The 27635-nt window shown below is 48.7% G+C and overlaps 1 protein-coding gene across 8 annotated transcripts in view, besides 3 other annotated features; it reads right to left on the bottom strand.

Moving 5' to 3' along the window:
• Positions 17626-27635, bottom strand: part of GPT2 (glutamic--pyruvic transaminase 2) — a 46928-nt gene continuing 36918 nt past the window's right edge. For all 8 annotated transcript variants that reach the window (XM_047434812.1, NM_133443.4, NM_001142466.3 and 5 more), the window contains exons 9-12: positions 26499-26673; positions 24371-24526; positions 21878-21990; positions 17626-20008 (exon numbers count right to left, since the gene is read on the bottom strand). In XM_047434812.1, coding sequence (XP_047290768.1) covers positions 19918-20008; positions 21878-21990; positions 24371-24526; positions 26499-26673 — 535 coding nt within the window. In that variant the 3' untranslated portion in view covers positions 17626-19917. The remainder of the gene's footprint in view (positions 20009-21877; positions 21991-24370; positions 24527-26498; positions 26674-27635) is intronic.
• Positions 18255-18792: an enhancer, noted in NCBI's record as "H3K4me1 hESC enhancer chr16:46964035-46964572 (GRCh37/hg19 assembly coordinates)". NCBI's record gives its function as "activates a minimal SCP1, AML or CMV promoter by ChIP-STARR-seq in naive and primed H9 embryonic stem cells {active_cell/tissue: H9 hESC(naive and primed)}" and the evidence as "EXISTENCE:reporter gene assay evidence [ECO:0000049][PMID:30033119]".
• Positions 18793-19332: an enhancer, noted in NCBI's record as "H3K27ac-H3K4me1 hESC enhancer chr16:46963495-46964034 (GRCh37/hg19 assembly coordinates)". NCBI's record gives its function as "activates a minimal SCP1, AML or CMV promoter by ChIP-STARR-seq in primed H9 embryonic stem cells {active_cell/tissue: H9 hESC(primed)}" and the evidence as "EXISTENCE:reporter gene assay evidence [ECO:0000049][PMID:30033119]".
• Positions 18935-19134: a silencer, noted in NCBI's record as "silent region_7438". NCBI's record gives its function as "represses an Ori minimal core promoter by ATAC-STARR-seq in GM12878 lymphoblastoid cells {active_cell/tissue: GM12878}" and the evidence as "EXISTENCE:reporter gene assay evidence [ECO:0000049][PMID:35858748]".

The raw sequence follows: 27635 nt of genomic DNA, 5'->3' as shown, positions 1-27635 counted from the left end.
TCAGAAAGGTCACATGGCCAGGAAGTGATCAAGAGGGGATTCCAATTCAAGTCCAAACTCCAAAGCTCATGTGCTTCAACACGATGCTTTACAACCAAGTCAACAAACCCTGAAGAAGTAGCAACTCTTTTCTCTACACTTCAGCAAAGGTCCTGGGTAGGGTCTTATTGGTCTGGTGTGGGTTTTGTGCCATCCTTGCACCAATCACTGTGGTTAAGGTGCACATCGTGCATTGAACAGCAGGGCCTGGGTCACATGCCCAACCATGAGGCTGAGGTGGGCCTATTCTCTTCTAAATGATCTGACAGTGGCAGTGCCAGCCTTTCCATGTAAAAGGGGCTTGGGACTTGAAGGACACAGCAATTTATGCATTGGAGAAACATCTATTGTCCACATTAAAGAATACAGCAAGGAGGGGTAGGGTTTCAAAGACGAAAGCCTCTGTTGAGCATTCCTAGATGCCAGGTACTGTTTACGAGCTGTGTGCCCCAGACATTTTGCACTTTCATCTTAGGAAGCGGAAACTGCTAAGGTGGAGGACTAGGGTTTGCTTAAAAACAAAACAAGCTGGGCGCAGTGGCTCATGCCTATAATCTCAGCATTTTGGGAGGCCGAGGCAGGCAGATCACTTGAGGCCAGGAGTTCCAGATCAGCCTGGCCAACATGGTGAAACTCTGTCTCTATTAAAAACACAAATATTAGCCAGATGTGGTGGCACACACCTATAGTTTCAGCTACTTGAGAGGCTGAGGCGGGAGGTTCGCTTGAACCCAGGAGGCAGAGGTTGCAGTGAGCAGAGATCATGCCAGTGCACTCCAGCCTGGGCAGAGTGAGAACCCTGTCTCAAAAAAAATTTTTTTTAAACCCCACAGCACTGCAGATGGGGATCACATAGGTGACCAGCTCCCCCTGGTGCTTAAACAGTTTTTCATCCAGAAGTTTCCTTTTTAGACTTTTATCATGGGGAAGTATGGCTGTGCAACAAGATTGAACACAAGAATGGTTATTGAAACATTGTCAATAATGGTGAGAAGTTGGAAATAACCTGAACATCTCCCGTTAAATTTTGTTATGTCCATTCAATGCATAATGTGTAGTTATTAAAAAGCAAGGTTGAGACCCTGTGTGAAAAAAAAACACAAAAAGGCATAGAGTGCCTGAATGGATAAAGATGTAAGTGAACAGACAACTCAGAATGGAAGAAAATATTGCAGACTGTCCATCTGACAAAGAATTAATAACCAGAGTGTATAAGGAACACAAATAACTCAACTGCAAAAAAAAAAAATTATTTAAGAAGGGGGAAGATCTGAATAGACATTTCTCAAAAGAAACCTACAAATGGCCTACAGGTGTATGAAAAAATGCTAATTACTAGTCATCAAGGAAATGCAAATCAAAACCACAAGGAGGGCCGGGCGCGGTGGCTCACGCCTGTAATCCCAGCACTTTGGGAGGCCGAGGCAGGGGGATCACTTGAGGTCAAGAGTTCAAGACCAGCCTGGCCAACACGGTGAAACCCTGTCTCTACTAAAGATACAAAAATTTAGCCAGGCATGGTGGCACATGCCTGTAATCCCAGCTACTCAGGAGGCTGAGGCAGGAGAATCACTTGAACCCGGGAGATATATTTGAAGACAGCTAAAAGAAAATAATTCAAAATTCAAACTTTTCTTTTTTTTTTTTTTGAGACAGAGTCTTGCTCTTGTCGTCCAAGCTGGAGAGCAATGGCACGATCTCGGCTCACTGCAACATCCACCTCCCAGGTTCAAGTGATTCTCCTGCCTCAGACTCCCGAGTAGCTGGGATTACAGGCGCCTGCCACCACGCCCAGGTACTTTTTGTATTTTTAGTAGAGATGGGGTTTTGCCATGTTGGCCAGGCTAGTCTCGAACTTCTGACCTCATAATCCATCTGCCTTGGCCTCCTAAAGTGCCGGAATTACAGGCATGAGCCATCACATCCAGCCTATTAATTCAAACTTTTCTAGTGGAAAGAAAAGACCAGTGGCCTAGAATGGTGGCTCATGACTGTAATCCCAGCACTTTGTGAGGCTGAGGCAGGAGGATCACTTGAGGCCAGGAGTTTGAGACCAGCCTGGGCAACATGGCAAGATCCTGTCTCTATAAAAAATAAAAAATCTTAGCTGGGTGTTGTGGTGCACACCTGTAGTCCCGGATACTCTGGAGGCTGAGGCAGGAGAATGGCGTGAACCCAGGAGGCGGAGCTTGCAGTGAGCAGAGATCGCACCACTGCACTCCAGCCTGGGCGACAGAGCGAGACGCCGTCTCAAAAAAAAAAAAAATGCGTTCACAACTGTTCTGATGGAATACGCACAAAGTCGAAAGTAATGATTTTCTCTGGGTTTGAGGATTATGGGTGTTTAAAAACATTTTTATTATAAAAATTTATTATAAAATTATACACAGCCTGGGCACGGTGGCTCACGCCTGCAATCCCAGCATCCTGGGAGGCCAAGGCAGGTAGATCACTTGAAGTCAGGAGTTTGAGACCAGCCTGGCCAACATGGTGAAACCCTGTCTCTACTAAAAATAGAAAAATTAACTGGGTGTGGTGGAGTGTGCCTGTGGTCCCAGCTACTCGAGAGGCTGAGGCAGGAGAATCGCTTGAACCGGGAGGTGGAGGTTGCAGTGAGCTGAGATCATGCCACTGTACTCCAGCTCAGGTTACAGAGTGAGACTCAGTCTCAAACATAAAAAAAAAAATTATACACAAAAGTAGAGAGAATAATATAATGAACCTCTATATGGCCATTGCCCCAACTGATTCATTAATTATTTTTTATTTTGCCACACTTGTTTTACTTATTATTATTATTATTATTATTTGCAAACTGATCCCTCTCTCCTGAAGTATGTTATTTATTTAGAGACAAGGTCTCACCTGTCGCCCAGGCTACAGTACAGTGGCACAATCTTGGCTCACTGCAGCCTCAAACTCCTGGGCTCAAGGGATTCTCCCACCTCAGCCTCCCACGTAGTTGACATTACAGGTGTGGGCCACCACACTGGCTAATTTTTGTATTTTTTTTGTAGAGATGGGGTTTCGCCATGTTGCCCAGGATGGTCTCAAACTCCTGGGTTCAAGCAATCCTCCTGTGTCCAAGCAATCCTCCTGTGTCCAAGCAATCCTCCTGTGTCCAAGCAATCCTCCTGTGTCCAAGCAATCCTCCTGTGTCGGCCTCCCAAAGCACTGGGATTACAGGAGTGAGCCACTGGCCCCTGGCTTGGAAGTATTTTAAAACAAATGCTACACCTCACTGATTTTTATTCCTACATAACGTCAACATGCATCTTTTTGAAGGACATTTCTTATGTGTTTCTGATGTCATTATAATACAACAAAATAAACAACCCTTCGTATTCCGCACTACTTGGATTATTTCACATTTTCATGATTCTCCTTTCTTTTTCTTATCTGCATTTCCTAATTTTTTACAATAAACATAACATATATTATTTAAAAACAACATCTATACAAAAATTAGCCCGACCTGGTAGTGTGCACCTGTAGTTACAGTTATTAAGGAGGCTGAGGTGGGAAGATCCCTTGAGCCTGGGAGTTCAAGGCTGCAGTGAGTTGAGATTGTGCCACTGTACTGCAACCTGGGTGACAGAGCAAGAGCCTGTCTCAAATAAATAAATATATAAATAAATAAAATAAAAGCAACAATTAAGACATTAAAATTCTTTGATGTACTTTTCTTTTTTTTTTTTTTTGAGACAGGGTCTCACTCTGTCGCCCAGGCTGGAGTACAGTGGCACAACCTCGGCTCACAGCAACCTCCCCGTCCCCACTTCAAGCGATTCTCCTGTCTCAGCCTCCCGAGTAGCTGGGAGTACAGGCACATGCCACCACACCAGGCTAATTTTCCTGTGTTTAGTACAGATGGCGTTTCACCATGTTGGCCAGGCTGGTCATGAACTCCTGACCTCAAGTGATCCGCCTACCTCAGCCTTCCAAAGTGCTGGGATTACAGGGGTGAGCCACCGTGCCTGGCCTGATGTACATACTTGGTAACACAGGTTACATTAAGCAATTAAATACCAAATCTGATTAATCTAGCAATGATCTAAACACAAATAAAGGCTTGCAACTTTTTAGCCATTTGAGATGGAGTTTCGCTCTCGTTGCCCAGGCTGGAGTGCAATGGCATGATCTCAGCTCACTGCAACCTCTGCCTCCTGGGTTCAAGCGATTCTCCTGCCTCAGCCTCCCAAGTAGCTGGGATTACAGGTGTGCACCACCATGTCTGGCTAATTTTGTATTTTTTTAGTAGAGACAGGGTTTCACCATGTTGGTCAAGTTGGTCTTGAACTCCTGACCTCAAGTGATCCACCCACCTTGGCCTCCCAAAGTGCTGGGATTACAGGTGTGAGCCACCGTGCCCAGCTATTTAACAACCTTCCTTCCTTCCTTCCCTCGCTCCCTCCCTCCTTCCTTCCTTCTCTCTCTCTCTCCTCCTCCTCCTTCTTCTTACTCCTCCTCCTCTTCCTCCTCTTCTTCCTCCTCCTCCTCTGCCTCTTCTTCTTCCTCTTCTTCCTCCTCCTCTTCCTCCTCCTTTTTTTTTTTTTTTTGAGACAGGATTTCACTCTGTCGCCCAGGCTGGAGTGCAGTGGCACAATCTTGGCTCACTGCAAACTCTGCCTCCTGGGTTCAAGTGATTCTCCTGCCTCAGCCTCCCAAGTAGCTGGGACTACAGGCATGTGCCACCATGCCCAGCTAATTTTTGTATTTTTTTGTAGAGATGGGGTTTCACCATGTTGGCCAGGCTTGTCTCAAGCTCCTGACCTCAAGAGATCCACCTGTCTCGGCCTCCTAAAGTGCTGGGATTACAGGTGTGGGCCACTGCACCTGGCCAATTTATCATTTTTTCATTCCCACCACCAGTATTTCAATTGCTCCACATTCTTGTGGACAAAAAAACATTGTCAAGCTTTCTCATTTTGGTCATTTTGGCTGTTCCCTAGTGCTCTGAATTTGCATTCCTTTTCAGGACTGCTGATGTTGAGCATCTTTCCATGCTTCTATTTAATTTTTTTACATGTCCCTGACTTGAAGCTCAGATATTTCCACGGTCTTACTGGCCTTGTGTACATCTTCTCTTATAAAGTGTCTGTTCAAACCTTTCCCCTATTTTTTTTAAACTGTTTTGTTTTGTTTTTTTAAGTGATAAGGTTTCACTCTGTTGCCGAGGCTGGAGTTTAGTGGCACGATCACAGCTCACTGCAGCCTCGAACTCTTGGACTCAAGTGATTCTCCCGCCTCAGCCTCCCGAGTAGCTGGGACTGTAGGTGCACAACACTGTCAGGGGAGTTCAAACTAGAGTGACTCCATCTTGAATGAGGGCTGGGTAACAGGAGGCTGAGACTTGCTGGCTGCATTCCCAAGAGGTTAGGCATTCTTAGTTGCAGGACGAGACAGGAGGTCGGCAAGACTGGTATCACAAGACATAGGTCATAAGGGCTCTACTGATAAGACAGGATGCGGGGAAGAAGCTGGCCAAAACCCACCAAAACCAAGATGGTGACAGAAGTGGCCTCTGGTCATCCTCACTGCTCATTATACCCTAATTATAATACATTAGCATGTAAGAGGCGCTTCCACCAGTGCTGTGACAGTTTACAAAAGCCATAGCAACAACAGGAAGTTACCCTATAAAAAGGGGAGGAACCCCCAGCTCTGGGAAATCCCCACTCCTTTCCTGGAAAACTCATGAATAATCGACCCCTTGTCTAGCATGTAATCAAGAAATAGGCCAGGCGCGGTGGCTCATGCCTGTAATCCCAGCAGTTTGGGAGGTCAAGGCAGGTGGATCACTTCAGGACAGAAGTTCAAGACCAGACTGGGCAACATGGTGGAACCCCGTCTCTACTAAAAATACAAAAATTAGCCTGGCATGGTGGTGTGCACCTGTAATCCCAGCTACTCAGGAGGCTGAGGCACAAGAATCATTTTAACCTGAGAGGTGGAGGCTGCCAGTGAGCTGATATTGCACCACTGCCCGAGCGCCTAGGAGACGGAGCGAGACACCGACTCAAAAAAAAAAAAAATCAAGAAATAACCATAAAAATAGCCAACCTGCAGCTCTCTGGGCTGCATTACCTGTGGATTAGCCATTCATTTGTTTCCTTACTTCTCTAATAACCTTGCTTTCACTTTGTGGACTTGCCCTGAATTCTTTCTTGCATGAGATCTAAGAACCCTCTCTCGGGGTCTGCATTGGAACCCATTTGGTAACATCACCACCACACCTGGTTAATCTTTAAAGTTTTCTCTAGAGATGAGGTCTTGCTATATTGCTCAGGCTGGTCTTGAACTCCTGGGTTCAAGCAATCCTCCTGCCTTGACCTCTGAAAGTGCTGGGATTACAGGTTTGCAACACTGCGCCTGGCTCTACAGTTGTTTTTCTTATTGTTACAGAGTTGTTGAAGTTCTTTATGTATTCTGTATACAAGTTCTTTATCAAATTGATGTTCTAAATATGTTTTCTCCCAGTCCGTGGCTTGTCTTTTCATTTTCTTGATGTCTTTTAAAGATCAGAAATTCCTTTTTTTTTTAAGATGGAGTTTCGCTCTCGTCACCCAGGCTGGAGTGCGATGGCCTGATCTCGCCTCACTGCAACCTCTGCCTCCCAGGCTCAAGTGATTCTCCTGCCTCAGCCTCCCGAGTGGCTGGGATTACAGGCATCTGCCACCACACCCAGCTAATTTTTATATTTTTAGTAGAGATGGGGTTTCACCACATTGGCTAGGCTAGTCTCTTGAACTGCTGATCTCAAGTGATCTGCCCTCCTTGACCTCCCAAAGTGCTGGGATTACAGGCGTGAGCCACTGTGCCTGGCCAGAAATTCTTAATTTTGATAAACTTGTGAATGCTGTCAGAATCAAAATGGAGTCACTAATGTTTGGAAAAAAAAATCCCTGAGAAACAGGGCATGGTGCCTCCTGCCTATTATCCCAGCTACTCAGGAGGCTGAGGTAGAGGATTATTTGAGGCTAGTAATTCAAGAGCAGCCTGGGCAGGATAGCAAGACCCTTGTTTCTGAAAAAAAAATTAAAAAATATTTTTAAGTAAAAAAGAAAAACCCTGACAAATGGAGCTAGGGAAAGTCACAAAGAGAGGGTTTTATGTTGGTATGCCTGATAACAAAAACTATCACAGAAGACAGCAAAAACCACAACCTTGCACAAAAGCCATCACGTTTTACACAAAAAATACTTCTGCAAGGATGTCTACCTAGCAGCTGCCTGTCCAACCTCAGACTGGCATCACCCTTGTTATTGATATTTGTAGCCAGGGATAATTATTTCAAAACAAGTAATCCTCCACATTTTTTCCTTTAAAAGCTTTTGACTTTCTTTACCTTCCTGCATATGTACATAGTTTACTGTGGTCTGTGTATTCCTATGGCAATGCTCTATTCCCAGACCAGTATCTTTTCTTTCAGAGAGCCTCTCTCTGTTTGTCGTTTTGGTTAAGTCCAATTTATTGATGTTTTCATTTATGATTTGTGCCTTTTTTTTTTTTTTGAGACAGAGTCTCACTCTGTCACCCAGGCTGGAGTGCAGTGGCAGAATCTCAGCACACTGCAACCTCCACCTCCCAGGTTCAAGCAATTCTCCTTCCTCAGCCTTCCAAGTAGCTGAGATTACAGGTGCGCGCTACCACGCCTGGCTAATTTTTGCATTTTTAGTAGAAACAGGGTTTCATCATATCGGCCAGGCTGGTCTCAAACTCCTGACCTCGCGATCCACCCGCCTTGGCCTCCCAAAGTGCTAGTATGACAGGCGTGAGCCACCGAGCCCAGCCAATTTGTGCCTTTTTATCCTAAAAAATATTTCCATGTCTCTGGCTGGGCATGGTGGCTCACGCCTATAATCCCAGCACTTTGGGAGGCCAAGGCAGGTGGGTCTCTCGAGGTCAGGAGTTCAAGACCAGCCTGGCCAACATGGTGAAACCCCATCTCTACTAAAAATATAAAAATTAACCAGACATGGTGGCTCACACCTGTAATCCCAGCTACTTGGGAGGCTGAAACAGAAGAATCACTTGAACCCAGGCAGCAGAAGTTGCAGTGAGCTGAGATGGTGCCACTGCATTCCAGCCTGGGCGACAGAGTGATTCTGTCTCAAAAAAAAAAAAAAGAAAGAAATATTTGTGGATCTCAAAGTTGCAAAGATATTCTCTTAGGTTTTCCTCTAGAAGCTTTACAATTTTAGCTCTTAAATTTTAGGTCTGCAATCCATCTAAAATATAGCATATATAGAGGTAGGCATTGAGGCTTATTTTTTCCCCATATGGATGCTTTAGCATCCAAGTGTTTTAGCGCCATTTATTGAAGAGACTTTCCTTCTCCATTGTGTTTACTTTGGCATACTCGTCAACATAAGTGTGTGAAAGATATATGCGTGTGTGTGATTGCATGCAACACATGTATGTGGTCTATTTTATGCCAAAGTGATAAATGCATGGGAGTCTATTTCTGGACTCTATTCTGTTCCATTATTTGTCTGCCCTTTCAGCAGTACCAGACTGTCTTGATTACTATGGTTTTATTTATTTTATTTTTGAGACAGGGTCTCACTCTGTCGCCCAGGCTGGAGTGCTGTAGCACAATCTCAGCTCATTGCAGCCTCTGCCTCCCAGACTAAAGTGATCCTCTCACCTCAGTCTCCCAAGTAGCTGGGGCTACAGGCGCATGCTACCACACCTGGCTAATTTTTCTGTCTTTTGTAGAGACGGGGGTTTCGCTATGTTGCCCAGGCTGGTCTCAAACTCCTGGGCTCAAAGGATTCACCAGCCTTGGCGTTCCAAAGTGCTGGGGTTACAGGCATGACCCACCAAGCCTGGCTGATGATTACTATAGTTTTAGAACAGGCATATGTTTTTTTGTTTGTTTGTTTGTTTTTGTTTTTGAGACACAGTCTTGCTGTGTCACCCAGGCTGGAGTGCAGTGGCATGATCTCAGCTCACTGCAACCTCCGCCCCTAGGTTCAAGTGATTCTCGCGCCTCAGCCTCCCAAGTAGCTGAGATTACAAGCACCCACCACCACGCCTGGCTAATTTTCGTACTTTTAGTAGAGACAGACTTTTGCCATGTTGTCCAGACTGGTCTCAAACTTCTGACCTCAGGTGATCAACTCACCTTGGCCTCCCAAAGTGCTGGAATTACAGCAATGAGCCACCGCACCTGGCCTAGAACAGGCATATGTATATTGAATGCTGATGATACCAAAATGCTCTCTCAAAAAGTTGTATAAATTTGGCCGGGCATGGTGGCTCACATCTGTAATCCCAGCACTTTGGGAGGCCAAGGTGTGTGGATCACCTGAGGTCAGGAGTTCGTGACCAGCCTTGCCAACATGATGAAACCCCGTAAATTAGCCAGGTGTGGTGGTGGGCACCTGTAATCCCAGCTACTTGGGAGGATGAGGCAGGAGAACCGCTTGAACCTGGGAGGTGGAGGCTGCAGTACCTGGGAGGTGGAGGTTGCAGTGAGCCAAGACTGAGCCATCACACTCCAGCCTGGCCAACAAGAGTGAAACTGTCTCAAAAAAAAAAAAAAAAAGTTGTATAAAGTCACACCACTGCTAACAGTGTATCAGTGTTGGCTTCCCCTCTCTTACCAGCATGGGGTATTATCAACCTTATAAATCATGGGATCAGGTCTTAGTCACTGCTGTGTCCCCATCACTTAACCCTGTGCCTGGTGCACAGCTGCTAAGCCAGTGTTTGATGAATGAATAACATGAGGCTTTAGCATATCTATAAATATGCCAACACTCATTCAGATGCCCTGGTAGGTAACAAAGATAAGGCCATTAAATTAAACTCCAGGCAGCCAGGTGCAGTGGTTCACGTGCCCAGCCGCTCACACTTATATACCATATTTCCTTGAATGAGTGGGGTTTTGACACCCAATGTATTTCATGATGCTGGCCCGAAAGACTGGGGGCATTTTGCTTTAAAGCTTTAGTTTAGAAATGGCAAACAGCAGCTTAACTTAACCATAAAAGGACAAAGCCCCACAAAGGTCTTTTGGGGGAGGACTTTACCTTGTGTAAATGCCAAGGAGTCCAAATGGTCCTAGTTCCTAACTGGAGCCAACATGTCAATATAGATCTGCACCAAAAACAAATGTCCATGGCACCAGTCTTCATTAGGTAGGCCCAATTAATTTATTTTTGGGTTTCTTTTTTCATTTGGTTTAAAGATGTGGTCTTGCTCTGTTACCCAGGCTAGAGTACAGTGGTGTGATCATAGCTTACTGCAGACTTCAACTCTTGGGCTCAAACCATCTTCCTGCCTCAGGAAGTAGTCTCGGGTAGCTAGGACTACAAGTATGCACCACCATGCCCGGCTAATTATTTTATTTTTGTAGAGACTTGGTCTCACTATGTTGCCCAGTCTTGTCTCAAACTCCTGGCCTCGAGTGATCCTCCCACCTCAGTCACCCAAAGCATTGAGATTACAGGCATGAGCCACTGCGTATGGCCAGTAGGTTCAATTTAAGAACACGATTTTTGCTATTATAGTGTAACTGGATCCAATGCACTTTTCATTTCAGGAACTGTGTCCAAAAAAAAAAAAGGCAGACCGGGCAAGATGGCTCATGCTTGAATCCTAGCACTTTGGAAGACACAGGCGGGAGGATTGCTTGAGCCCAGGAGTTCAAGACTAGCCTGGGCAACATGGTGACACTCTGTCTCTACAGAAAATTTAAAAATTAGCCAAGCGTGGTGACATGAGCCTGTAGATCCAGATACTCGGAAGGCTGAGGTGGGTTAGTTACTTAAGCCCAGGAAGTCAAGGCTGCAGTGAGCTATGATTGCAGCCTGGGGGACACAGCAAGATCCTGTCTCCAAAAAAAATAAAAAATAACTAAATAACTAAATAAAAAAAATAACTAACCTGTGTACTTGTCTTACCGGAAAGGGGTCCCTCCCGATCCAGGCCTCAAGAGAGGGTTCTTGAATCTCCTGCAAGAAAGAATTAAAGGTGAATCCACAGAGTAATGTGAAAGCAAGTTTATTAGGAAAGTAAAAAATAAGAGAATGGCTACTCCATAGTCAGAGCAGCCCCAGGGCTGCTGGTTGGCTATTTTTATGAATATTTCTTGATTACATGCTAGACAAGGGGTGGATTATTCAAGAGTTTTCTGGGAAAAGGATGACAATTCCCAGAACTGAGGGTTGTTCCCCATTTTAGACTGTATAGGGTCACTTCTTGATGTTGCCATGGCATTTGTAACTGTCATGGCACTGGTGGGAGTGTTAGCATGTTAATACATCATAATTAGCATATAATGAGCAGCAAGGACCACCAGAAGTCACTTTCATGGCCATGTTGGTTTTGGTGGGTTTTAGCCTTTTTTTTCTTTTTTTTTCAGACAGAGTCTTGCTCCATCACCCAGACTAGAGTGAAGTGGCGTGATCTCTGCTCATTGCATCCTCCGCCTCCTGGGTTCAAGCGATTTTCCTGCCTCAGCCTCCTGAGTAGCTGGGATTACAGGTGCCCGCCACCACACCCGGCTAATTTTTTTTTTTTTGTATTTTTAGTAGAGATGGGGTTTCACCATGTTGCCCAGGCTGGTTTTGAACTCCTGATCTCAAGTGATCTGCCCGCCTTGGCCTCCCAAACTGCTAGGATTACAGGTGTAAGTCACCGCACTCGGCCCTTAGCCACTTCTTTATTGCATCCTGTTTTATCAGCGGGGTCTTTGTGTCCTGTACCTTGTGCTGACCTCCTATCTCATCCTGTGACTTAGAATGCCTCACCTCCTGGGAACTCAGCCCAGTAGGTCTCAGCCTTCTTCTACCCAGTCCCTATTCAAGATAGAGTCACTCTGCTTCAAATGCCTCTGACACTCTGGCTAGCAGAATACGTTCATGTGTTGGAAATGTTGGGAAATGGCATTTTCACAATGTATTTGGCATACTAAGGGCATATTTTTTCCTTCAATTGGAACATATATTGAACACTTATATCAGCACTGCTCTAAACCAAAGATAATCAGCTAAAGTGCTCAACAAACATATTTGCTTGCTAGGAACTATGCTAAGTTACATACACACACACACATGCATTTTTTTCTCCCATTTAATTCTCATATTTATTCTATTTGTGTTTCTTTATGTTGAGACAGAGTCTTGCTCTGTCCCCCAGACTGGAGTGCATGCAGTGGCGCCATCTTGTCTCACTGCAACCTCTGCTTCCCCGGCTTAAAGGATCCTCCCACCTCAGCCTCCCAAGTAGCTGGGACTATAGGCATGTGCCACCATGCCTGGATAATTTTTGTATTTTTTGGAGAGACAGGGTCTCACTATGTTGCCCAGGTTGGTCTCAAACTCCTGGACTCAAACAGTCTTCCCGCCTTAGCTTCCTAAAGTGCTGGGAGTACAGGCATGAGCCACGTGCCCAGCCACTCACACTTATTCTATTACCCAATGAGTGGGTATTAGCCCCGTTTTACAGTGTTAACACTGAGTAATCCTACAGCTGGTAAGGGGTAGAGCCAAGGTGCATGCCATGGTCCACCTACCCTGGACGCTGCTCTCGGGACAGTCCCTTTGGTGTTCTGCCTCCCAGACCATAGTGAAGAAGAGGTGTCATGCCCTGGTAGGGAACACTGGCCTGGAAGAGTTCATGGTGTTACAGGTAGTTAGGGCTGAGTGGCGCAGCAGAGTGCTCTCTCCCACCCGTTAGGAATGTCGAGTGATAACATTGCCTCTCTAAAAGGGATAAACTGGGAGCCCATGCCAGGGAGAGTCCATTTCCTGATGATCCACACCTGTTGCCCTAAAGTGTTAATTGAATGCAGGCACCAGGGAGAGGCAACTTCCCGGGCACGTGCATTAAGATGCACCGCATTAAATGGCGGGCGGGGCACAGTGGCTCACGTCTGTAATCCCAGCACTTTGGGAGGCCAAGGCAGACGGATCACGAGGTCAAAAGATCGAGACCATCCTGGCCAACATAGTAAAACCCCATCTCTACTAAAAATACAAAAATTAGCTGGGCGTGCTGGCACCTTCCACCACTAACAATGGAACTGCTAAGAATGGCCTGCAATGATCCTAAATACAAGGGTGGGAGAGAGAAGTACCCTCTTTATGTAAGTACGTTCCTTATACGGCATTATTTTATTTTATTATTATTTTTTGAGACGGAGTCTCACTCTGTTACCCAGGCTGGAGTGCAATGGTGCAATCTCGGCTCACTGCAACCTCTGCCTCCTGGGTTCAAGCAATTCTCCTGCCTCAGCGTCCCGAGTAGCTGGGACTACAGGCGCGTGCCACCACAGCCGGCTGATTTTTTGTGTTAATAGTAGAGATGGGGTTTCACTGTGTTAGTCAGGATGGTCTCGATCTCCTGACCTCGTGATCCGCCCACCTCAGCCTTCCAAAGTGCTGGGATTACACACATGAGCCACCGCACCCGGCCGGTATTATTTTAGAAACCAAGAACTGTACGCAACCTAAATGCTGGAGGTGCCATGAATGACAGTCATCCATCCATGGAATGGCTGAGGCAGCCATAGAAACTGCCCACCAGGCTTTTTTTTTTTTTTTTTTTTTTTGATGGAGTTTTGTTCTGTCACCCAGGCTGGAGTGCAATGGCGTGATCTCGGCTCATTGCAGCCTCTGCCTCCCGGTTAAAGCAATTCTTCTTCCTCAGCCTCCCAACTAGCTGGGATTACAGGCGGCTGCCACCACACCCAGCTAATTTTTGTTTTTCATCAGGCATTTTTATTAACATGTTGTAACATTCAAGGGGAAACAGGACCCAGAACTATGCACCCCCGTCAACCACATAAAAATATTCTCAGGAAAAGAACAGTAAAGAAATATTCCCAGAATGTTAGACTTGATTAACTCTGGTTAGAGGATCACAGTGGGTTTCACATTTTCTTTATTTTCTGGTTTTTCCATATAAGCATGTTTACTTTGATAAAATATTTTTTGAGAATTTCACACTTTTATGTAATATACACTTTTATGGTCTGTCTTTGTTCTAAACATTACTGGGATTCTGGGTTGCTTTTTGTTTTTGCTTTTAAGAGATAGGGTCTCTCTTAAAAGCAGTAGCATGATCTCGACTCACTGCAGCCTCAACCTCCCGGGCTCAAGTGATACTCCCACCTGAGTCTCAGAGTAGCTGGGACTACAGACATGTGCCACCACACCTAATTTTTGTGTTTTTGTAGAGACAGGGTTTTTCCATATTGCCCAGACTGGTCTTGAACTCTGGGCTCAAGCAATCCACCTGCCTCAGCATCCTGAAGTTCTGGGATTACAGGCATAAATGGATTGGGTTTTATTTTTGTTGTTGTTGAGACGAAATTTTGTTCTTGTCGCCCAGGCTGTAGTGCAATGGTGCAATCTCGGCTCACTACAACCTCTGCCTCCCAGGTTCAAGCGATTCTCCTGCCTCAGCCTCCCGAGTAGCTGGGATTACAGGTGCCTGCCACCACGCCCAGCTGATTTTTTGTATTTTTAGTAGAGCCGGGTTTTCACTATGTTAGCCAGGCTGGTCTCAAACTCCTGAGTTTTTTAAAGAGAGATAGTTGATGTTTTTGTTAAGCTGCGTATGAATCCATTTTTAAAGTTTTGGCTGGGCGTGGTGGCTCATGCCTGTAATCCCAGCACTTTGGGAGTCCGAGGCGGGTGGTTCACAAGGTCAGGAGATCGAGACCATCCTGGCTAACACGGTGAAACCCTGTCTCTACTAAAAATACCAAATAATTAGCCGGCGTGGTGGCGGGCGCCTGTAGTCCCAGCTACTGGGGAGGCTGAGGCAGAAGAATAGCGTGAGCCTGGGAGGCGGAGCTTGCAGTGAGCTGAGATCGCGCCACTGCACTCCAGCCTGGGAGACAGAGTGAGACTCCGTCTCCAAAAAAAAAAAAAGTTTTAAAATTTAGTATCTTCAAAAGGACTTTGAGGGATGCCCCCAATATTTGCATTCAGAGCAAAGGCAGATGAAATTGGAGAGAGCCAAAAGGTCAGTATGTCTTTTTTTAAAGTGGAAAATAAAATCTCTCTCTGACTCTCCAGCCGACCTGTGCTTCCTAAGGAAGAGAGCTGATGGATGGCTGGCAGTAAGGTTCATCTTCCTTCTTCTTGGAGTTCTCCCCACTTGGGGGGCAGAGTGACAGGATATCAGCAGACAGCACTGAGAAGTGGTCAGGTGCCCACCAGTGGAAAACAGCATCATCCCCTCCCTTCTACGCATCACCCACTTTTTTTTTTTTTTTTTTGAGACAAGGTTTGGCTCAGTCACCCAGGTTGGAGTGCAGTGACATAATCTTGGCTCACTTTCACCTCCGCCAACACCCCACTTTTTTTTTAAGAGACTGGGTCCTGCTCTGTGGCTCAGGTTGACGTGCAGTGGTGCTGTCACGATTCCCTGCAGCCTTGAACTCCTGGGCATCAAGCGATCCTCTGGCCTTGGCCTCCTGAGTAGCTGGGACCATGGACATGTGTAACCATGCCTGGGTAATTTTTAAAAATAGTTTTTGTAGAGGTGGGTTCTCACTGTTGCCCAGGATGGTTTTGAACTCCCAGCCTCAAACAAACCTCCTGCCTCTGCCTCCCAAAGTGCTGGGATTACAGGTGTGAGCCAGCACGCTCAGCCCCTCAACCCACCCTGAACTCACCCCTCCCTCCTCTATCCCTCTCTGAAAAGGCCCTGTGGTAAATGGGTTTTGCTGGGGCAGCACCACATCCAACTCCCTTTCCTATGGGGAGCAGCGTCTCCTCTTCAATGTTATGGCCCCAGTGGGCTCCACCTCCTCCTGCTGTGTGAACAGGGCCACCCAAGCTCCTTATTCTCATGGATCAGAGGCGAGCTCAGAGAAAGGCACATGGGCCCAGGCAGCCAATCAGGATCCTCCCTTGGGATTTTTTCAAGTGGAGTTGGACGAGACAGACTGCATTTAACAGAGTGAACTTAAAAACCGAAGCAGGCTTCCCTCCCAGGTGCGCGAGGCCATACTTCCTCTTTCTGCTGACGCTACTCTGAGTGGATTTCTATCACTTCCAACTGAAGTAATTTTTTCTTTCTATATTTTCCAAATTTTAAGAGACTGAGTCGGCCGGGCACGGTGGCTCACGCCTGTAATCCCAACACTATGGGAGGCCGAGGTGGGCAGATCGCCTGAGGTCAGGAGTTCGAGACCAGCCTGACCAACATGGAGAAACCCTGTCTCTACTAAAAATACAAAACTAGCTGGGCATGGTGGAGCATGCCTGTAATCCCAGCTACTTGGGAGGCTGAGGCAGGAGAATCACTTGAACCCAGGAGGCAGAGGTTGCGGTGAGCTGATAACACACCACTGCACTCCAGCCTGGGCAACAAGACTCCATCTCAAAAAAAATAAAGAAGAGACTGGGTCTTGCTGTGTCACTCAGGCTAGCATGCAGTGGCATGATCAAGGCTCACTATAGCCTCAACCTCCTGGGCTCAAGTGATCCTCCCACCTCAGCCTCTCAAGTAGCTGGGACTATAGGTGTGTGCCCCAACACCTGGCTCATTTTTTCAATTTTTTTTTGTAGAGACAGGGTCTATGTTGCCCAGGCTGGTCTCGAACTACTGGGCCCGTGATCCTTCTGCCTCAGCCTCCTATGCAGACAGGGCCACAGGTGCACACCACCATGCTCAGCTAGTTTTTTGAATTTTTATAGAGATAGCATCTTTTTTGGTTGCCCAGGCTGGTCTCGAACTCCTGGGCTCCAGCAATCCTCCCACTTTGGCCTCCTAAAGTGCTGGGATTATAGGCATGAGCCACTGCGCCTGGCCACCAAATTTTCTTTAGTGAAGACACAGAAATTTGAGTTTTGAGAAAAAGTCCTGAATTCCAAAATCACACATCAAAATCAAACGTCGATATGGGAAATGAACGAACTCCCTCTTATAGACAATTCCCCCTTTGCCCACGGGCCTCCAGTGCTCCCTCGCCCACCCTCCCCAGCCCCAGGGAAGAGGCTGTTTGTTCTTATTTCTCTTCCACCAGGGAGCCACGGTCTGTGTTCATTTTAAGCACATTGTATTTCAAAGAATCCATGAAGTTTCTCCACCATAAGTGAACAAAAAAGCAGCACAGGGGTCTTAGGATCAAGCCCTAAGATGACATGGAGGCCGGGCAACGTGGCTCACGCCTGTAATCCCAGCACTTTGGGAGGCTGAAGCAGGCGGATCACCGGAGGTTGAGAGTTCGAGATCAGCCTGGCTAACATGGTGAAACCATGTCTCTACTAAATATATAAAATTAGCTGGGTGTGGTGGCACGCGCCTGTAATCCCAGCTACTTGGGAGGCTGAGGCAGGAGAATCGCCTGAACCTGGGAGGCAGAGGTTGCAGTGAGCCGGGATCGCGCCACTGCACTCCAGCCTGAGCCCTGGGTGACAGGGTAAGACTCGGTCTCCAAAAAAAAAAAAAAAAAAAGAACATGGAAGCTGAGAAGCTGTGCCTGGAGTGGAGTTCTGTCATGTTTGGGGGAAATGTCCATTATTGTGCTGGGAACATAAATTACAAAGAGTGAAGGTGTAAAGTTAGTAATGTCCTCAATGTTTACATTCAAACTACAATGAAAGTTAAACGCAGTCACCATTTTGGACATTTTATTTATAGAAATTTCCAGCAGAGCCATTGTTAAGTACCTCTGTCAGGAGATACCTGTGAGAACCTAGACGGGAAAACAGCCACAGGTTGATCTGCATCTGTTCCTCCCCAACACTCCACACACACCAGAACAGGAATAGCCAGGCAAGCCTCTGGGTGCCCGGTGATGCACTGTCTGAGGCACAGCCCAGCACGTGCTTCCTCAGCACATGCTACACACACAGATCTGGACGAATGACAGAAACTTCACAGATGTAACTTCCAAGTGCGACCTCAAATGACAACTTTCTCAGGTGGTGCCTGGATAGGAAAGGCACCGGAACAGAATCTGTAGAAAACCAAACCTATCATGATCAGCATTCCTACCCGACGTTAACCTCCTAGACTAGCTGACCTTATTTATTTTGAAAGCAAATCAAGTGTATACAGTCTCTTTTTAAAAAACTGTGTAAACGTTGTAAAGTTTTTAGGGGCTGTTTATAATCTGAAGATTTATAAAAAATTACTGGACTTGTTAGGACTATAAATACTAACCCCGCCTCCCCCATGAAAAAAGCAATTGTTACAAAAATATAAAAAATATACTAGCTTCTACGATTTAACCTTTTCACCAGAAACCTCACGACCCTGGGACTAATCCTGGTTTATATACCACACAGCAAGCACAAGTGCAATTTTCTCCATTTTTTAAGGAAGAAAAAGTTTTAGAACATTCCCTTTTGTTATTTGAGATTGTGGCTACTTTCTTCATAGGGGCTGTGATGTCGGTGGGTAAGGACAGTTGGGAGTTTCTGTTTCCTCTGCACGGACCCGGTGTGGAAATCACAGCATAGAGGCTGCTGCCTCACTCCTCGGCCTCTTCTGCTTTCTCTCCAGCTTCTCCAATCCCATTTTGGGACATGCGGGGTCCCAGGCTCCTGAGCTTCCCTAACTTCCCACTGGGGAAGGCAGGGAGGATGGGGAAGCTCCCAGTGAGGGAGGCGAGGGCTAAGCCCGTAGCACCGCAGCCTCGAGTGTGGTCGGCCCGCCCAGGGCTGCTAATGGCAGAGAAGCCGCATGCTGGGGGATGGCACCCTCCTGTACTGGGAGAAGCCTGATGCCACAGGTCAGAGTCTGCAGCCTGGGAGGGGAGCCGGAAGCTAACATGAAGGCAAAACACTCTGCATGAAAGCACGGCAATGAACCTCCAACCACGACTGACTCCTCCACGGCAGCCAAGCTGCCAGGCACTTTTACCACCTAAAAGCTAGGAAACCGACCAGATTCAGCTCGCCACCATTCAAGAAAGGACAGGGCCTTGGCTGCTCGGCAGGTCCCGGGGATTGCCCTTGTGGGGAGGATATTTTCAGCCCTCATTTCCCCGCTGTCGCCAGCAGGGGGCGATGTGCTCACAGGCTCGGTCAGGGGAGAACAGGCACCGGTCACCCGCGGGATGGGTCCACACCATTCCAGCGGCTCTCTCCACGGAAGTGGGACACTGCCGGGCTGCACTATGTGTCACTGAAATTCAGGGAGACCTCTCAGACGGGGTTCCAGCCTACGCATGTTCAAGGGAACCCCTCATTCCCAAAGCCCGCCGGGCGCACAGAATTCTCAGGCCTGGCTGCGTTGCTGGGAAGCGGAGGCCCAGTTCCTCCTGCAGCCTGGCTCACACCCACGCCTCACAGTGGGGCCCTCTGACCGTGGCCGCAGCCCCCAGCATCTACCCCAAGCTAGTGCAACATCCTGCCCAGTCCACGTGCTACTGCGCTCCCGGCGCCTGCCTCCAGGCCACCGGGCGGACCCTTTCTCAGCCCCAGGGGCCTTCCAGGCCCTTCTGTTCAAAGGACCGGATGCTTCACACCGCTAAGGGCTTTATTTCACAGATCATGGTGGTGAGTTTGGATTTCCAGCCCTCACCACGGTTAAGTCACACATTTCCCGACACCTGCTCATTTCTCCAGATCTGAAACATCTCACCCAACACATCCTAGTTGTTGTAAACCCCAAATGAACTTTCCAGAAGCAAAAACAATAACAGATTCAGAGAACCCTGGTCACACCTGCTGAGCAGGTCCCCTCTACTCTGGTTGCATATAGAATGCTTGTTTGCTCAAAAGAGAGGCGCTCTCAACATCAAGGCACAAAGAAAGACGTCTCCAGGGGCAAAATGATGACGAAGTGACCAGCGGCCTCTGCGAGGCCCGAGGCAGAGTCACGGGGGAGGCGAGTTCAGCCTGACGGGCATTGGGAGGAAGAGCCAAGGACAGGTCTCCCGCTGGGGCTCAGGCGTCCTCACGCGTACTTCTCCAGGAAGTTGATGTGGAAGTCTTTCACCTTCTGCAGCACCGTTTTCAGCTTCTCCACTGGAGGGAGGATAGTCATCCTGGCAGGAGAGACAACAGTGTCAGCCTGGCTGCTCTGCAAGATGGGAGAGGAACGAATCCAGCAGCTAAACTGCCTCTAGGAATGGAAGAGGGAGGTCTGCCTGGTCTGCTTCGACAGCTCCAGCCCGGACAGCACCCAGCACTTGGACCACTTTCCCCTTCATTCACATGTTGGTTTTTTCACCCAAGTAATACACGTGAACAAAAGCAATAAACTGGAGCAGCATTTAGGCTAAGACATATCCACCCATTACTGCAGAAGGCCTGCATCACTTTTTTTTTTTTTTTTGAGATGGAATTTTGCTCTTGTTGCCCAGGCTGGAGTGCAATTGCGCGATCACTGCAACCTCCACCTCCCAGGTTCAAACAATTGTCCTGCCTCAGCCTCCCGAGTAGCTGGGATTACAGATGCCTGCCACCACGCCCAGCTAATTTTTGTATTTTTAGAAGAGACGGGGTTTCACCATGTTGACCAGGCTGGTCTCGAACTCCTGACCTCATGATCTGCTCACCTTGGCCTCCCAAAGTGCTGGGATTACAGGCATGAGCCACTGCACCTGGCCATATTTTTTTTTTTGGAGATAGGGTCTCACTCTGCTGCCCCAGCTTGAATGCAGTAGAGTGATCATAGCTCACTGCAGCCTCAAACTCTTGGGCTCAGGTGATCCTCCCATCTCAGCCTCCCGAGTAGCTAGGATTACGGGCATGCGCCAACATCCCTGGCTAGTTTTTAAACAATTTTTTGTAGAGACAGGGTCTTGCTATGTTGCCCAGGCTGGTCTTGAACTCCTGGACTCAAGCCATCCTGAATTTGGCCTCCCAAAGCGTGTGAGCCACTGCACTCAGCCCTCTGGAACATTTTGACCACTGATCAGAACTTTCTCTAGAGTATGACTCGGGCTTTCCTAGAGTTTGAGAGAGAGATTTCACTCCTACCTGAGGGGCCTTTTTTATCTCTAGTCAGTCTGACAGTGAGACACCCTCCAGTCACAACTCTGCTCCAAAGGAATTTCCAAGTTGCCACAGTAACTAACACCTCCCTCTGGTGCACCAAAATGCTCCCTGGCCTTCCTGGCAGCCCTCTTGCTTAAATCACTTTCTCATCAAGCCATCAACCACCGAGATGAGCCTGACCAGGGGTGGGAAGGCCAACCGGACAAGGTTTGTCCATCAGGGGACACAACCCACAACCTTGCCTAAGTCAAGACTTGGCTCCGGGTGCTAACAGCTCATGCCATTTCTTTTTTTTAGCATCTGCCGCAGGAGACCTCTGAGAGCAACATGTATGGGGAAGATGTTGTTCTGAAGAGAACTGGCCTCAGTGGAAAACCTCTGCTCCAGCCAGCTCAGCTCTGGGCACCGGCATTCCCATCCATGCAGGGCCAGAACGGGGTATGCCCTGGGCATGAGTGGAGCAAATTCCCCTGCAGTTCCTCGGCAGGCTCTGGGATCACAGGCAGTGCCATGGCCCAGGGTGCTGCCAGGAGCTACTAAGCACATGCCAGCACCACTCCAGGCACTGGCAGCTGTGTGCTGCCATCGCAGAGTTGAAAACGGACAGCAAAATAAGAAAACACCCTACTAGGAACATTTCAGACAGCGATGGGACCGATGGCAGAGGGGAGAGACAGAATAGTCAAGGAAGACCTTTCAGGGAATATAACCCTGAGCAGACAACCACCCAGATTTTCTTAATCCCTGGGCAGGGTCTGAGCTTGGGTCTGCAGCAGGACAGAGTAGGGGTGACTCGAGAGAGGACAGGGTCTCCGCACCTCTCTCTTTGAAGTAGTCCTCTGCTCCATGTCAAGAAGTCCACATTTCCCTGGACAAGACCCGGACCAGCCCCTAGTGCGGAGAGGAAGTCATACCTGAAGTGGTAAGTGCCTTCCCTCTGCCCAAAGCCACTGCCGGGCACGACACAGATGCCAGTCTCCTCCAGGAGCTTCATGCAGTAGAACATGTCTGGAGCCATTTGATGGGCCTATGGGAGCAGACAGAGCTCATGATCATTCCTGGCTTTGCAAACACACCATTCAACCCTCAAAGCCAAATGTAATCTAAATGGCAGGTCTCTCTCCCACGGCAGTGCCCTTCTCCCCTTCCGCTCCTAGAGGACCAGGGCCAGACGCTGGGATACTGCTGGTGGCTGGTGCCAGGCACAGACACCTGAAAACTACTGCAGGACAGCCAGGTGTAGGTAGTGGTCCTCCTGCCCGTCATCGGGCAGTGCCCATCCCCAGGCAGCCACTCAACAGGCATCAGCAGTGGCTTCCTGCAGGTCAAGCTGCATAATCCTCTGAAAATGGGGCCCTGGGGTCTGCACACAATTTTCATGGAACGAGCTTCTCTGAGGCACTCTCAACACTGCTTCCCACACACTGGTTTGCATGACCACCCGGGGAGCCTCTTAACTACAGATTCTCAGGTTCTATCATCAGGGATTCTTTTTTTTTTTTTGCAACAGAGTCTCCCTCTGTCACCCAGGCTGGAGTGCAGTGGTATGATCTCAGCTCACCACTACTTCCGCCTCCTGGGTTCAAGCAATTCTCCTGCCTCAGCCTCCTGAGTAACTGGAATTACAGGCATGTGCCACCACACCTGGCTAATTTTTGTATTTTTAGTAGAGATGGGGTTTCGCCATGTTGGCCAGGCTGGTCTCGAACTCCTGACCTCAAGGGATCTGCCTGCCTCAGCTTCCCAAAATGCTGGGATTACAGGCGTGAGCCACCGCGCTCGGACTACACCACGGATTCCTTTTTTTTTTTTTTTTTTTTTGAGACAGAGTCTCACTCTGTCGCCCAGGATGGAGTGCAATGGCGTGATCTCGGCTCACTACAACCTCCAGCTCCCGGGTTTAAGCGATTCTCCCTGCCTCAGCCTCCAGAGTAGCTGGGATTACACTGCAGGCCACCATGTCCAGCTAATTTTTTTTATATTTTTAGAGATGGGGGTTTCACCGTGTTGGCCAAGCTGGTCTTGAACTCCTGATCTCAGGTGATCCACCTACCTTGGGCTCCCAAAAGTGATTACAGGCATGAGCCACCACACCTGGCCCAGGGATTCTTTTTTTTTAAATTTATTTAAGAGAAGAGATCTTGCTCTCGCCCAGGCTGGAGTGCAGTAGCATGATCACAGCTCACTGTAGCCGCAACCTCCCAGGCTCAGGCGATCCTCCCACCTCAGCATCCCAAGGAGCTGGGACCACAGGCATGCACCACCCAGCTAAGTTTTAAATTTTTTGTAGAGAGGGTTTCACTATGTTGCCCAGGCTGGTCTCGAACTCCTGGGCTCAAATGATCCTCCCACTTCAGCCTCCCAAAGTGCTGAGACCACAGGTGTGAGCCACTGCACCCAGCCTAACACTAGGAATTCTGATTCTGTAGGTCTAGGATGGGGCCTAGACTTGGGTGTTTAACAAGGTACTCAGGAGGCCGAGGTGGGCAGATCACAAGGTCAGGAGATCGACACCATCCTGGCTAACACGGTGAAACCCCGTCTCTACTAAAAATACAAAAAATTATCCGGGTGTTATGGCAGGTGCCTATAGTCCCAGCTACTTGGGAGGCTGAGGCAGGAGAATGGAGCGAACCCGGGAGGCCGAGCTTGCAGTGAGCCACGATCGCACCACTGCACTCCAGCCTGGGCGACAGAGCAAGACTCCGTCTCAGAAAAAAAAAACAAAAAACAAAAAAACAAGCCAGGCAGTGGCTCACGCCTGCAATTCCAGCACTTTGGGAGGCTGAAATGGGAGGTTCCCTTGAGGCCCAGGAGTTTGCAACCAGCCCGGGCAACAAAGTAAGACCCCATCTCTCTCTATAAAAATGTAATTAAAACAAAACAAACAAGCCAGGCACAGTGGCTCAAGCCGGTAATCCCAACTCTTAGGGAGGCAGAGGCAGGAGGATGGCTTGAGCCCAGGAGTTTGAGACCTGCCTGGGCAATCTAGCGAGACCCGTTCTCCACAAAAAGGAAAAAAAAAAAGGCCCTAGGTGATCGGTGCACACACTGAAGTTTGGGAAGCGCTGCTCCAGAATGCAGTGGCTGGGTGGAGGTGGTAGCTCCTGCTGCTTCCCCCGCAGGCATCTCACCTGGGCACCGCCCTTGGGAGCAGCAGCATTCACAGAGTCCAGATCAGCTCCTTTCCCCTGGGGCCCACCTCATGTTTGCCCATCAACACAGCACACAGCTGGGCCTCCAAGAACCTGTCATCTTTACACGGTCAACACCCTCTGGCCGAGAGGTGCATACAGTTCCGAGCCTCCAGGGCCAGCACTTCTGCTCCCCAAGATAAGCAGGGGCCCCCAACCCAGCATCTCAGGTGAACCTGGTAAGAGAGAGCCAGCCCAGCCCATGCCCCAGACCTGAGCAGCCTCCACAGCTTTGGCAGGAATGAAGATCCGAGGGAAGGCGTACATGGCCCCCTGCAAGGGGTTGCAGTGAATTCCTGGGACTTGGTTAAACAGGTCTTCCGTCAGCTTTGCTTTTTTGGCCAGATTACCCAGGACCGACTCCTTCTCCTGATGAGAGATGGAAACAGCACAGCAGTCAGTATCTCTGGATAAAGATTCACTCCAGCCACTGATCTTTCCTGCAGCACTTGCGGAAATCCCAGATGATGACTTTGCTCCAGCTTTGAACACATGTCCCCTCTGACCCATGCGTTGACTCAGATTTGCTCTGCCTGGGTCACATGCCCCATGCACACCACACAGACGGAGTGGGTGGGGTGGTCTGTTCCTTCGACACTGGGGTATCAGACAGACTGACCAAAGAAGAGCTTGTGTGAGCCTGAGCACAGCAAAACAGGGAGGTGGGTGGAACACATCTCCCGGCACAAATTCTTCCACAGCGCTCACCCTGGGAGGCTGCCACGTGCCCTGGGGTGTGGGGCACACAGACACCAGGGAGTTCTAGGCCAAAGGGTAGAGCCCAGCAGCCTGTGTCATGGGTTCTATTCTCGTACCAGGATGTCTTTCCAGAAAATGAGAAAAACCAGTTGTTGCCTGTCAGTCTGTATGGACTTGGCTCTGGACGGAATTCCTCAGAACATGCTTCTAGGACACATGCCCATTCTTCTGCAGATGGGCCCCACCAATGCATCTGGGGGGGACCAGCGCGCCCCACCCTCTGTCTGTGTGGTGTGCATGCAGCACAGGACCCAGGCAGAGCAAGTCAAGGTCAGTGACTGGGCCTGAGCTGGGCGTATGTCCACGGCTGGAGCACAGTCACCGTCCAGGGCTTCCACAGGTGCCGCCGGCCAAGTGGCGTGGAAGGTGTGGGCTGCAGATGGAGGCATAAGCACTATGTGGCCTGTCCACGTGGGGAGCATGGTTCAGCCTGGAATCACGACACGGGCCACAACACAGATGGACCTGGAGGACATCATGATAAGGAAAATAAGCCAGTCACAAAAAGACAAATAAGACATGACTCTACTTTTTTTGTTTTTAAACGGAGTCTTGCTCTGTCATCCAGGCTGGAGTGCCATGGCGCAATCTCAGCCCACTGCAACCTCCGCCTCCTGGGTTCAAGTGATTCTCCTGCCTCAGCCTCCCGAGTAGTTGGGATAACAGGCATGTACCATCCCGGCTGATTTTTGTATTTTTAGTAGAGATGAGGTTTGACCATGTTGGCCGGGCTGGTCTCAAACTCCTGACCTCAGGTGATCCGCCTGCCACAACCTCCCAAAGTGCTTGGATTACAGGCATGAGCCGCTACGCCCGGCCAACATGACTCCATTTATATGAGGAATCTCGAGGAGGTGAGTGCAGAGAGAAGGGGGTAGAAGGGTGGCTGCTGGGGCTAAGGGGAGGGCAGGGTAGGGTGTTAGTGGGTAACAGGTAGAGCTCAGTGTGGGATCATGGAACGGCTCTGGAGATGGATGGCAGTGATGGCCGCACAACATTGTGAATGTCCTGAATGCCAGAAAACCGAGCACTTTATAAAGGTTAAAAAGGTCGACTTTATGTGTATTTTACCACAATTTTTTAAAAAAGAAGTGAGCCTGGACCAGTTGGGAGCTGACTTCTAGATTACTTGACCCATAAATTCCTTTGTTTGAACTGGTCAAAGCTGTCAGAGCTGGAGGACCCTGTCAAGCTGTGAGGACACAGGTTGGCAGAGGCGGGTGGGGGCCTGGGATCGATGCTGCGCCCCTCTACCTCCTCGTCTTCTTTTCAGTTTCATGAGTCCCCCCAGTGTGTTATCAGGACACAGCTCCCTTCCCTCTTCGACACTCGCCATGAGGAAGAGGAAGGGTTCACCTGCCCACACACACTCACAGTCCTCCTACTTCCAAACAATGCCCAGCTGCGCTTCCAGACTTCAACTCATAGGGGTGGTTCAGGCTCTGAAGAGCCATGAGTGCACCTGCAGGCCACACCCTCAGGAGGCTGCTGTCTGGCCACCTGGAGACAGGCTGGCCACTGGCCCAGCAGGAACTCTCGTGACCCCGGCCACAGGGGTGCAGACGCATCACAGTGGACTCACTCGGCTGAATTGCTCAAAGGACTCCTCTCCTGCCACCGGGGGGTTCACGACAATGTCCATGGCGGCCTGCCCAGACACTGGGGGGCACAGGCGCACCGACAGCAGCTTCACCAGCTGGCCCTTGATCTCAGGGTGCAGGTTGATCACCTCCATGTAGCCTCCTCTGTAACCACACCTGGAGGGCCAAAGAGAGGGAGAGGACCACCAGTTATAGAAAGACCTCAACAAAGTGCCATTTGGACAGCCAGAATCGAAAGCATTCCCACACCCAACACCAAATGGCCAGGTGTGGCTGAGTTCTTGCCAATGGAAGGTGAACAACAGTGATGATTGTGTACAAACTCCTATTTTTTTCTAAGAGACAGGATCTTTTTCTGTCACCCAGGCTGGAGTGCAGTGGCATGATCATAGCTCACTGCAGCCTCAACCACCTAGGCTCAAGCAATAGTCCCACTTCAGCCTCACAAATAGCTGGGACTGTAGGTGTGTGCCACACCTGTGTGTAGGTGGACCTTTAGGTGTGTGCCACCACGCCTGGCTAATTTTTTTCACTTTTTATGTATGTAGAGATAGGGTTTTGCTATGTTGCCCAGTCTGGTCTTGAACTCCTGGCCTCAAGCGATCCTCCCACCTCAGCTTCCCAAAGTGCTGGGATTACAGGCGTGAGTCACCGTGCCAAGTTCTGTAATTTATAGCCAAATTATAAATCAAATCATATGAAAATAAGCTGAGGACACATGATGAGTTTTAAAAAAAAATCTTTCCAGACCAAATCAGCAACATACATCTCCTTCTCTGGTGTGTGGCTGCAAACGTTCACACTAACGACCACAGGAACGCAGGTGCCTGGAGGCAGGAACCTGGTCACCTTCCTCCATGCATCCCCCACCCCCAGCCTCAGAGCACCTGACACAATGAGATGCTTAGTAACATGCTTTTGGGGGAGCCGGGTGAAGTGGCTCAGTCCTGTAATCACAGCACTTTGGGAGGCCGAGGTGGACGGATCACTTGAGGTCAGGAGTTCAAGACTAGCCTGGCCAACATGGTGAAACCCGTCTCTACTAAAAACACAAAAATTAGCTTGGCATGGTGGTGCATGCCTGTAATCCTAGCTACTTGGGAGGCTGAGGCAGGAGA

Source organism: Homo sapiens, chromosome 16, assembly GCF_000001405.40.
Source record: "Homo sapiens chromosome 16, GRCh38.p14 Primary Assembly".
Lineage (NCBI taxonomy): Eukaryota > Metazoa > Chordata > Mammalia > Primates > Hominidae > Homo > Homo sapiens.
The sequence above is the reverse complement of the archived record's forward strand: the minus strand, read 5'-3'. Positions and strand labels throughout refer to the sequence as shown.